Source organism: Homo sapiens, chromosome 11, assembly GCF_000001405.40.
Source record: "Homo sapiens chromosome 11, GRCh38.p14 Primary Assembly".
NCBI classification, from domain to species: domain Eukaryota; kingdom Metazoa; phylum Chordata; class Mammalia; order Primates; family Hominidae; genus Homo; species Homo sapiens.
The window spans coordinates 60,987,713-61,000,079 of record NC_000011.10 but is presented as its reverse complement, the minus strand read 5'-3'; the positions used below and the strand labels follow the sequence as shown (position 1 = coordinate 61,000,079).

The following is a 12,367-nucleotide window of genomic DNA, read 5'->3' as shown; positions in this document are numbered from 1 at the left end:
TATTTATTTTTATTTTTATTTTGCCATAGAGTCTCACTCTCCCTCTGTTGCCCAGGCTGGAGTGCAGTGATGCGATCTCGGTTCACTGCCACCTCCACCCTCCTGATTCAAGCGATTCTCCTGCCGCAGCTACTGAGTAGCTGGGGTTACAGGCGCCTGCCACCATGCCTGGCTAATTTTTTTATTTATATTTTTAGTAGAGATGGGGTTTCACTATGTTGGCCATGCTGATCTCGAACGCCTGGCTTCAAGTGATCCGCCCACCTCAGGCTCCCAAAGTGCTGGGATTACAGGCGTGAGCCACAGAACCCGACCCTGTGCTGTTTCTGATAGCATAATAAAAACAAACAAATAAAAACCCACCAAAAAAAAATTCAAACCGGAGACAACTGGATTGTCTAAAAGTGATTGGGGGGTTGGTTAGAAAAATATAGCACATTAAAAATATTTGCCAAAAAAAAATTTACAGGGAGTATTTAATGATGTGGGGATAAGTTTATGCCACAATGTTAAGTGGCAGAAGCAGAATACAGGGTTATGTTATAAGTATGGTTGTACTCTCCCCTTCAGTCCCCGTCCTCACCCCCCGCCATGTTTTAAGCTTCTGAAGGTTTTCCAGGACCCACAGAGAGCCCGAGTACAATCTCCCATTCTGTCCTCTCACTGCATCCTGAGATTTTTTTTCATGTGGGCCCAGCCACATTTAATTACATAGCTATCCTGGTCATGAACTGACAACCATCGGCTCACTAGATTCTAAGCATCACCCCCATATATCCAGGACCTTGCGCAGTGCCTTGCCCAGGAGAGATGCTAAAAGAATATCAGTAAATTAAATTTAATCTCTACTATAGGAAAAGAAAATACATGCCCACATGGTATTAATAAGTTTTCCTTCCTTCCTTCTTGCTCTTTCTTTCTTTCCTTTCTATCTTGCTCTGTCACCCAGGCTGGAGTGCAGTGGTGCCATCTCAACTCACTGCAACCTCCGCCTCCCGAGTTCAAGCAATTCTCCTGCCTCAGCCTCCTGAATAGCTGGGACTACAGGCATGTGCCACCATGCCCGCCTAATTTATATATATTAGTAGAGACTGGGTTTCACGATGTTGGCCAGGCTGGTCTCGAACTCCTGACCTCAGGTGATCCGCCTGCCTTGGCCTCCCAAAATGCTGGGATTACAGGCATAAGCCACTGTGCCTGGCCTGTTTTCCTTTTTTTTTTTTTTTTTTTCTGCCTTGTGTTGTTCTAATTTTTTCAAATGTTCTATATCAAATAAAAATTAAAAGTCCCCAAATAAATACACAGGGCTTTTTTCCTGGGGGGACATGTGGGCTAGCTTGAAGTACTAATACAGTGAGCTTTCATACTGACTACCCAGTCACCCTGCTCCAATGAGCCTGCAGAGAGCACCTGGGCAGACAGTGTGGCCACGCCAGCTAAAGCCATACTCATTCCCAGGGAAGAATTGAAGAGCTCATGTGGCTGGCAGGTCAGGGTGTCTCTTCTCGGCAATGTCAGCATTGTTGGGGGCACAGTGGAGAGGGTCACTGGGTTGGGCGTCAGGAGCTGACAGTTGATTTCTATCATTAACTTGCTACATGACCTTGAATGAGTTCTTTCACTTTCTGGCCCCGTTTTGTCACTTGCATAATGACAGATTGATGAGATTTTGATCTTGTCCAGTCCTTACATTCTTTGATTATAATTAGATAAAATATGTAATGAAAGGCAACATCTCTTGAGCACTTACTGTATGCCCCATAGATGATAGCGGTTATCTGTGTGCATTACATGTACTAGCAAATCCTTACAACCACCCTGTGAGGTGCATACTATTAATATCATCATCCCAGTGTCATCACTGAGAAAACTGGGACATAGAGAGCTTAAGTAAATCACCCAAGGCCACCCAGCTGGTCAGTAATCAAAGCAAAATTTGAACCTGGACAGTCTGGCTCTAGAAATCACCCTTTTAACTACTACAGCATACTGTTTTCAGTATGCTGTCAATATAGATGGGAAATCTGTCCTACACCGTCCATTTATCATCACGGAAGTGGGCCCATGGTACACAAAGCACTCATCTGTATAAACGCAGGGGAGGAGCATACATTTGAAGGGCTTAGAGATCACTCAGCCCCACTCGGAGGGAAAATCATATGGTGCTGTGTTGTCCAGTACAATAGCCACCAGCCACGTGTGGCTACTGAGCACTTGAAATGGGTTCGTGCCAATGAGAAACTCAAAATTTCATTTTATTTAATTCAATTCATTTCTATTTAATTTACAAAATGTTTTCCATTTAATTTTAAAGGCATAATCAATTCAATCATTGGAAAACCTTTTCAAATGGCCAGAGTAAGTGAGATATGTGATTCTCCTTTTTCAATTGTAACTAGTATGAAATCTAAATACAGATTGAATGTTTCTGGTGAAACTTGAGTGTCCAAATTGAGACATGCTTTAAGTGTGAAGTACAGGTTGTGTGTCAAAGACTTGGTAAGAATAAAGAATGTAAAGTATCTTATTAAGAATTTTTTTATTGATGTGTAGAAATGATATTTTGGATATATTCAGTTAAATAACATATATTATTAAAGAAATTTCATCTGTTTCTTTTTACTTTTTTGAAAAAATGCAGCTGCTAAAAATTTATTTATTTATTATTTTTATTTTATTTTATTTTATTTTTTTTTTTTTTGAGACGGAGTCTCGCCCTATCACCCAGGCTGGAGGGCAGTGGTATGATCTTGGGCTCACCGCAACCTCCATCTCCCAGGTTCAAGCGATTCTCCTGCCTCAGCGCCCTGAGTAGCTGGGACTATAGGCACGCACCACCATGCCTGGCTACTTTTTTTATACTTTTAGTAGAGATGGGGTTTCACCACGTTGGCCAGGCTGGTCTTGAACTTCTGACCTCAGGTGATCCACCTGCTTTGGCCTCCCAAAGTGCTGGGATTACAGGCATGAGCCACCATGCCCAGCCAAAAATTTAAAATTATAAATGTGACTCACATATTGACATCAGACAGTGCTGTATGGGGGGAAGGTACCTATGTACCTTACAAGGCCTTGAGTTCAAAGGCTTGGGCTGGAGTCCAGCTCTGTTCCTTATTAGTGGAGTGACCTTTGGCCAGTCACTTTGCCAGTCTGAGCCTTAGACTGTCATCCATGAACTGGAGTTAATAATGCTTCTCTCAGAAGGCTTTTTGTCAGCAAGTATTTTGTCAGAAATATTGCAAAATCTGCGGCCCAAAGGAAGAGTATCCCCAAGGCCCACGGGGAGGTCAGGCTCCCAGTGCAGCGCAGTGATCTCCCGGATAGTCCAGCTGCTGCTCTGGAGCACTGCCAGGACAGGGCAGGGTGTGCCTCTCTGCAAGACTGGCACCAGGCCCTTGTGACTAGTGTCCCCGAACCTTGGGAGAGGCGTGCTCCCTGCTAACCTGCAGACCACCGTGCATCTTGTGTATGAAGACTGGCCTTTTGTCCCGAGCAGTGATGACAAATGCTACGTGAACCCTGGTGGGCCCGCCTCCCGAGGCCCTGGCTCAGACTCCAGGTATTCAAGTGGAGCAGGACTGGTTCAGGGAGCTGTCCGGAAACACTCACCTGCCCCTTGCCCAGTGGCCGGGAAGCTGGACTGGGATTCCTGGTTTGCAGGTTTGGGAAGCAGCCAGATGGACTCCTAGTTTTCTACTCCCAACCCACACTGATGGGAGCAGCTACTTATCTCGGGCATCTGGGGTCCAGAGTGCAGGGGGATAAGGGAAGGATGTTGTGATGCTTCCCACTGCTCTGATAGGGAAAGGGGAGGCCCCAAGGCACGTCGAGCACCCGTCACAAATCTGGCACAGCTCAGCAGTAATGGCTGACATTTATTCAGTATGATTTAATTGTCAAAGCAAGACCACGAGATGGGGAAACTGAGGCACAGAGCGGTTTAGTATCTTGCCTAAGATTACACGGCTAGAAAATGGCCAAGCTGGGAATTGAACCCAGGCTGTCTGCTTGCAGAGGCCACATTCGTAACCACACCACTCCCCCGGGTTGGAATCCAACATCCTGATTTCTGCTTTGGTGATCATGCCAAGGGCGAGAGGCAGGAAGTTTTGACAACCCTGGAGGCTTTCCAAACTCCTTTCTCCTCTGCAAGTGTCAACCAGCACTGAGTTTAGAAATGATAACCCACCCTTCCCCCGCAATGGTGACACAACTCAGAACCCAAGATCCAGGGACTCATTTCCCAAAAGATCCCAGACTCCAAAGATAAGCAACAACTAGGAAACCTTCCTTCTCCGGGGCAGGGGGTCCTGGGTGGCATGTGTCATCCCACAGACCTCACAGCAGGGAAAAGATGAGACTTAATAGTCTCACCTCGCACTGCCCCCACCCCTTCCCCACTTGCTCTCAAATATGGGGCTCACTCCAGCACTGTCTAGGGCCTGAGGATGCATCGGCCAATTGGAAGAGGAGGGCCAATGAATTTAGGGGAGGAAGCTCTGAGTGAGAGGGTGCTGGAACTGTCCTAACTATTTTCTTTTTAGAAATGCCCTTGGTATTGTTAATGGTGAGCAATTAATAAAACAACTAGAAAGAAGGGAACGCCTGTAATTCCATTAAAATTAGAAAGATGCGGGCTGGGCCTGGTGGCTCACATCTGTAATCCCAGCACTTTGAGAGGCTGAGGTGGGTGGACTAGCTGAGGTCGGGAGTTCGAGATCAGCCTGGCCAACATGGCGAAATCCAGCCTCTACTAAAAATACAAAAATTAGCTGGATGTGGTAGTGCATGCCTGTAGTCCCAGCTACTCAGGAGGCTGAGGTAGGAGAATCGCTTGAATCCGGGAGGGGGAGGTTGCAGTGTGCTGAGATTGCAGCACTGCATTCTAGGCTGGGTGACAGAGCAAGACTTCATTTCAAAAAAGAAAAGAAAGAAAGAAAAAGAAAAAAAAAAAGACGCATGCGCTGGCTCATACAAGTAATATAATTCAATTGGGAGGGGATAAATGTGTTCAACCTTTGAGGGGACTTGGACTTGAAGAGCCTGTGACACCCGGTTGGGCTGAGTTTACTTTGTCAAGAAACTGAAGCTGTCACAGGCTCAGTCACACAGTGCTGTCCTAGCCTGCAGAGGTGACTGGCTGCTGTGACTAGACCAGCTTATACCCACTTGGCTCTCCAAGGCCAGGAAGGCTAGAGTGACTTCTCTCCCCTGGCGCCCAGAGGAAAGTCAGCAGTTTGGTGCTTTGGTATTATTTTACATGTACACTTATCTCCCGAATACCTGTCCCAGTTCCTAGCACGTGGAACAAGTTCAGCAAGTGTTAATGAAACGGAACATAGATCGGTAATAAACTCATTTCTCAGCTTTCAGGAGAACTTGGCTCATGTGCTTTCATTTTCTTGAGAGAGAAAGAGAAAGAGAGTGAGTATTATTTGGTATTATGTTACAGGATTTTGGTTTGTTTTCACACTCCCCAGTTATACCACAGCAGGGCTTGGGGACACAAATAAAACAATTTACTCAATTGACAGAGACGGATGGAAGTTAAGGCTCAAAGAGTCCCAGTCCCAGAGGACTGCAGTCACTCAGGTCAAAGAAATTCAGCTTTTTTTTTTTTTTGGCGGGGGTGTTGGGGAGGGGATGAGTCTCACTCTGTTGCCCAGGCTGGACTGCAGTGGCACGATCTCGGCTTACTGCAACCTCCGCCTCCCAGGTTCAAGCAATTCTCCTGCCTCAGCCTCCTGAGTAGCTGGGACTACAGGTGTGTGCCACCACGCCTGGCTAATTTTTTGTATTTTACTAGAGACAGGGTTTCACCGTGTTGCCCAGGCTGGTCGCAAACTCCTAAGCTCAAGCAATCCCCCTGCCTCAGCCTCCCAAAGTGCTGGGATTACAGGCATGAGCCACCGCGCCCGGCCAGAAATTCAGCCTTTTTACCTTTCTTTTGCCCCTATGTCACAGGACAGATGATGTTCACCTGTGTGATACCTTCCATGCATGCCCAGGTTTCATCTCCCCTCCTCTCTGTCACCAAATCCAAGGGGAAGTAAAAGACAACGTTTCCTACTCGCCTCTGTAAAAAACTTAAAAGATAAGATCAACATGACTTAACAGGCTTTGAGGTACGTTCAATTGCTGGGACTCCCCCTCCTCTCCCAAGAAAGTGAGAGGGCGTGAGCCATGTTCTCCTGAAAGCTGAGAAATGAGTCTGTTGCCAGCCTGCATTCAGTTCCATGAACATCTGCTGAACTTGTTGCATATGCTGGGAACTGGGGCAGGTATGATATGAGGGAGATGAGTGTGAGCGGGATGATCGAGGGAGCAGGAGATCCCAGGCACCAATTCATCTGGGAAACAGCCTCCATTCTCGGGAAATTCGTCTTTCATGACTTAGACAGGGACTCTGGGGACAGATAGAACAGTGATCTAAACCCATCTCTGCTGATTACTGGCTGTGTGACCTAGGGAAAGTCACTGAGCCCAGCTAGGTTTCATCTTTAACCTGGCACTGGGCATGATAAATGAGCCAAACAGAAGAAGAGTGCACGGGTGGGTGATCTTCGTAAAACGCTTAGGACGCGGTATATGGTAGCTGTGGTTGTTATTATCCTCCAACCTGAGGCTTTCATCCCTTTTCTCTCGTTTGGCCCTTGGTAGCTATGGGACGGCAGCTGGCTATTGATTCTACATTCCATACCAGGCAGAAAGATGACTCTGACAGCTCCTTAGCCTTCTTTTCTGCAAGGGGGTGATTCTGGTTCTCTGAAGGCTGCATTCTCTCCTCCTCACTCCTCGCCTTTCTTGTGAACCTTATCTGAGCTGCTGCAGACTCTCAACTTGGCTGCACCCTTCCCCGGCTCTGCAAACATCCAGTGTTCCTAGGGAGGAGATGTGGGCTGTAGTTGCTGTGGTAACAGGAGTTCCTCTAAAAGAAAAGTCTCCTGGGGTCCTGGCTCCAAGGCTGGCTCAGGCTCCCGTGCCAGACCGTGCCTTCTTTCCAGCTACCAGGTGGTAAAATGAGAAGGTCCCATGGAGGGTTGCAAGCAGCTCAGTAAAATCCCAAGGGATAAGAGTAGGGATTTGGCTCCAAGAGAGCACAGCAGGCCAGAAACACTGGCATGTCACCAGCCCCATCTTCTTGATCCCCCGCCAGACTTTAGACCACTGAGAGGAGGAGAAGAATATTCAGGTGCTTCTTTTATTTATTTATTTATTTTAATTTTAATTTTTTTATTTTTTTTTATTTTTGGAGACGGAGTCTCACACTGTCGCCGAGGCTGGAGTGTAGTGGCACGATCTTGGTTCACTGCAACCTCTGCCTCCCAAGTTCTAGTGATTCTCCTGCCTCAGTCTCCCTAATAGCTGGGATTACAGGTGCACGCCACCATGCTCGGCTAATTTTTGTATTTTTAGTAGAGACCGGGTTTCACCATGTTGGCCAGGCTGGTCTTGAACTCCTGACCTCAGGTAGTCTGCTCACCTTGGCCTCCCAAAGTGCTGGGATTACAGGTGTGAGCCACAGCGCCCGGCCCTCAGGTCCCTCTTTTAGAATTCCCATTCAGTAGGTCTTGGTTGGGAAAAAACCATCTACCACATCATAGGCATCAGAAAGAACACTGGATTGAAATTAAACATGCCTGGGTTAGAAACCCAGCTTCCTCCTTACTATAGTGTGACCCTGGGCGAATCTCTTCACATGCCCCCCTTGCCTCCCTCACCTCATAGTTATATATAAAAAAAAAAAGCCTCACAAGCTGGGCACAGTGGTTCACACTTGTAATCCCAGCACTTTCAGTGGCTGAGGCAGGAGGATTGCTTGAGGCCAGGAGTTTGAGAACAGCCTGGGCAACACAGTGAGACCCTATCTCTACAAAATAAATTTAAAAATAAAAAAATGAGGCTGGGTGCTGTGGCTCACGCTGTAATCCCAGCACTTTGGGAGGCCAAGGTGGGTGGATTGCTTGAGCGCAGGAATTTGAGACCAGCTTAAGCAACAAGGCAAAACCTTGTCTCTACCAAAATTCAAAAAATTAGCTGGACATGGTGGTGTGCACCTGTGGTCCCAGCTAGTCGAGAGGCTGAGGTTGGATCACTTGGGCCGAGGAGTTTGAGGCTGCAGTGAGCCAAGATGGTGCCACTGCACTCCAGCCTGGGCAACAGAGTGAGATCCTTTGTCTCTCTCTCTATAGATATATATACATATATATATACATATATATAGATATATATGAATAAATAAATAAGTAAATTAGCTGGACACATGCTTGTAATTCTAGCTACTGAGGAGGCTGAGGCAGGAGGATCACTTGAGCCCAGGAGTTCGAGGTTGCAGTAAGCTATGATCATCACTGCACTCCAGCCTGGGCAACAGGGTGAGATTCCACCTCTAAAATGAAAACGAAACAAAAACCTCACAGGGCTAAGGAAAGATTACCATAAAAACCCCCAATACCTGGCCCATGGCAAATGCCCAAGATCTTGTGGAATCAATGACTATACCTGCAAATACGTGAAAGATGAATATGTGTGCATATATGTATCGTAGATGGAAAAAACAGATGAAAAACAACATATTCAGGATGATCATAGCCTTATGGATATTGTGCAGAGAAAAATGGCTGATGAGGCCAAACGCGGGGCTCACGCCTGTAATCACAGCACTTTGGGAGGCTGAGGCGGGTGTATCACCTGAGGTTGGGAGTTCAAGATCAGCCTGACCAACATGGAGAAGCCCTGTCTCTACTAAAAATACAAAACAATTAGCCAGGCATGGTGGCGCATGCCTGCAATCCTAGCTACTCGAGAGGCTGAGGCAGGAGAATCGCTTGAACCCAGGAGGTGGAGGTTGCGGTGAGCCGAGATTTAGCCATTGCACTCCAGCCTGGACAACAAGAGTGAAACTCCGTCTCAAAAAAAAAAAAAAAAAAGAAAGAAAAAGAAAAGAAAAGAAAGAAAGAAAGAAAAGGAAATGGCTGATGATACCTCATAGATTTCAAGAGGCTCATACCTTGATCTGAAAGCTATACCCTTTTGTATAAATTATAGAAAAAATTGTTCACATGCAGATGTGTGCAGGGATACTTTCTGCGGAACTGTTTGTAACAGAAGAAAATTAGAAGTACTCTAACCATCCATCAGCTGGAAATAAACAGACTGTATTGTATCATAGGCTGGATTATTCCATTGCAGGAATGAACTAGATGCATATCTATCCACTTGGTTAGATTTTGAAAACAAGGAGAAAAGTATAATAAGTTTCAGAACAATATGTCCAGTAGGGTACAATTTATATAAAATATAGTACATGTCTCAATACCATCCATTGTGTATGGAGACACTTTTTGTGTAATAGGAGTATAAAAATGTGGGAGAAAAGGGTACACACACCACACTTTGGAGTGTGTGTTCTAGGGAGGAAAGGATAAGAATTATTTCAACAGTATCTGTATGGTTTTCTTTCTTATTAATATAGATCTGAGCAAATACGGCAAAAGTGTAAACATTTTCTAAGTCTGGGTGGTGAGGACGCATTGGGTTCATTAAAACATTCTCAGGCCAGGCGCGGTGGCTCACGCCTGTAATCCCAGCACTTTGGAAGGCCGAGGCAAGTGGATCACTTGAGATCAGGAGTTCAAGACCAGTGTGACCAACATGGTGAAACCCCATCTCTACTGAAATACAAAAATTAGCCGGGTGTGGTGGTGTGTGCCTGTAGTCCCAGCTACTTGGGAGGCTGAGACAGGAGAATCACTTGAACCCAGGAGGCAAAGGTTGCAGTGAGCCGAGATTGCACCACTGCACTCCAGCCTGGGTGACAGTGCGAGACACCATCTCAAAAGCAAATAAACAAATAAACAAATGTCATTCTCAATGCATTTCTGTATGTTTGCAATATTCCTCTCTAACGAAATGTCTGGAAGATTCTACAAGAGGCTAGTAACAACAGTTATCTTTGAAGGTAGCTATTGATAAATTTTTAAATTTTTCTGTTTTTGTATTTTCTAAATTCTGTACTATTTTTACTAAATAAAATTTTAGTAAAATAAAATAAAACAAAATAAAAACAAAAAAATTTTAAAATAAAAGCATATATGAAAAACCTTTGTAAATTGTCCGAGTCATATCAATGCACCCTGCCAACGATTTTTCTGCCCTTCTCTGGGTAAGAAAGCCATGGGTTTTTATAGTTTTAAATTCTTGAATCTCCTTAACAATGCTCAGAAGTAAGCACTGTTATTATCACTATCGTGCAGGCGGGGAAATGTAGGATTCAAGAGACAAGGAACTTTCTGGGACAATAGAGCCCCTAAGAGGCAGAGCAGGGATTTGAACCCAGAAAGAGGGTTTCCTGGGCTCTGATAAACACCTCAGGGTGTGCTGTGAATGCTCAACAAATTCTAGTTACTCTTATTATTAATGGAAGTCCCTAGAACTCACTTCACCTCCCGCAGCATTTCTTGAGCCATGCTGCGCTCTGCCGTGGAAAGTAAAGGTAATAGAGCCCGTGGTCCAGCCTGGAGGCCAGATGTTAAGAGCTGACTCGAATGTTGTCTCTCTGAGGTAGGTGCAGAGGCAGGAGACATGCTTGAGGAACCTGGAGGAGGGACAGGGCTGCTCTGCAAGTGGTGGGGCTGGTGAGTGAGTCCAGGAAGGTATTGCCGGGGAGGTGCCCTTTGGGCCAGGACTTCAAAGTCAAGGAGCATTTCGCTGAGGCAAGGGAAGCAGATCCACATTTCCCGAGGACTTCCTCTGTGCCGAGTGCTTCCTCTGTGCTGAGTGCTTTACAGACGTTGCCTCATGGCTACCTTGTGAGGAGACACTATTATGAAACCCATTTTACAAAGAGGCTCAGGGAAATTAAGTTCCTAGCCCACGGTCACATAGCCTGGCATTGATAGAGCCAGAATTCAAATCCAAATTTGAATTTGTTCCCCAGATTCACTCTTTCTACTCTTCAGGCGCCCTCAACAAGTAGCAAGAGTTAAGAAGGCATTCTAGGGAGAGGGCACAGCTCGAGCAAACACCTGGAGGTGGGACAGAAGCTGGTGGGCCAGGCTAGACACTCAAGGTATTAAATTCAAGAATAGAATTCCCCAGAGCAAGACCCTCTGTGCAAAGGCTGGGCTAGGTTTCTGCAGGCTGGAGGAGGGGAGTGAGGAGGGGAGTGAAGGCTGAAACTGCTGAGCTCTCAGCGATTTTCCAGGGGGCCTGCCCCCACCCACTGGCTCTCAGGAGGGGCCCTGGTTCTAGGTCTCCCAGAGCTGCAGCAGAAGCAGTTTTAGCTTGTGTGTGGGCAAGGGGTGAAAATCCTCCCCGCTCCAAGGGGTGATGCTGAGACCTTTCCAGGGTGGCCTAAAGCCCCCTAAGAGAAGGCCCCCTTGAGATCAGACATCCAGAAGCCATCAGACATCATCAGCATCCATCCTTGGAAGGAAACACAGCCTCTCCAGAGCAGGTGGGAGTGTAGGCTGGGCTGGGACCAGAAAGTCTCCTTGGGGTGTCAGGGACCGGCCCTGGCAGCTACGCTCACCAGACACATGTCCTGTGCCCATCCATGTCCTAACAACAGCCCCCTCCTCACCTACCACTCACCTCCTCTCTTTAAATAAATCCAGATTCAAAGAGAACCTGGGGGAGGCACCAGGGATGTTCAGACTAATGCTTTGTGGCCACCTTGCGTCCTTAACAGCTGGGGGCTGACAGCGGCCAATGGCCATGTGGATCTACGTGGCTCAGAGTGCCAGTGGATTCAGGAATTCAAATTCAGGAAAAAAATATGGGTTCCTTGGAAGGAAGGTAACATCTGAATGCCCACTGTGTGCCCCAGCTTTATGTATACAGCACGCACCGTCTTATTCATCTCCATGAGGAGCCTGTGAAGGCTCAGTGTTCCAGATGAGAAAACTGAGGCTCCGCAGCATGAAATGACTTGCCCAAGGCCACAGTTACTAAGAGGCGGAGCCAGACTTCCAGTCTCTCTAATCTGATCTCACACTCTCAGCTCTCAGCCCACACGGCTGTCCCCTACTCCTCTTCACAAGTCACTTACAGGATGCTTCTGAGGCGGCTCAAAGTCCTTCTGAGTTCCCATCTATCTTAACCCTTGGTCAGGGAGATGCCACTCATTCATTCCATTCTCTCAGCTAGGCTCTGGGCCAGGCCCCATGCCCTGGTGGAGGATACAGATGCACTCGTGGTTGATTACGATCAGTTATAAATGCTATCCTTGGGCTTGGAACTAAGTACTCTGGAAAAAAAACAGAGTTAGGAGGGAATAACTGACTCCAAGAAACAGGGGACAATTGGGAAGGGTTTTAGAGGATGAGTAGGAGTTCTCAGGGGTAAGAAATCGATGGAAAGATAC

At 46.6% G+C, this 12,367-nt stretch overlaps 1 protein-coding gene and 1 pseudogene across 17 annotated transcripts in view, besides 1 other annotated feature; both read right to left on the bottom strand.

Annotated features, from left to right (window-relative positions):
* Positions 1–12,367, bottom strand: part of CD6 (CD6 molecule) — a 48,698-nt gene that overhangs the window by 20,298 nt on the left and 16,033 nt on the right. The window contains exon 2 of one of the 17 annotated variants that reach the window (XM_047427881.1): positions 6,701–6,881. The exons of the other annotated variants lie outside the window; for them this stretch is intronic. The gene's annotated coding sequence lies outside the window, so the exon portion shown is untranslated. The remainder of the gene's footprint in view (positions 1–6,700; positions 6,882–12,367) is intronic. 17 annotated transcript variants of the gene reach the window in all.
* Positions 3,975–4,044, bottom strand: TRA-TGC10-1 (tRNA-Ala (TGC) 10-1; annotated as a pseudogene).
* Positions 10,652–10,741: an enhancer, noted in NCBI's record as "active region_4788". NCBI's record gives its function as "activates an Ori minimal core promoter by ATAC-STARR-seq in GM12878 lymphoblastoid cells {active_cell/tissue: GM12878}" and the evidence as "EXISTENCE:reporter gene assay evidence [ECO:0000049][PMID:35858748]".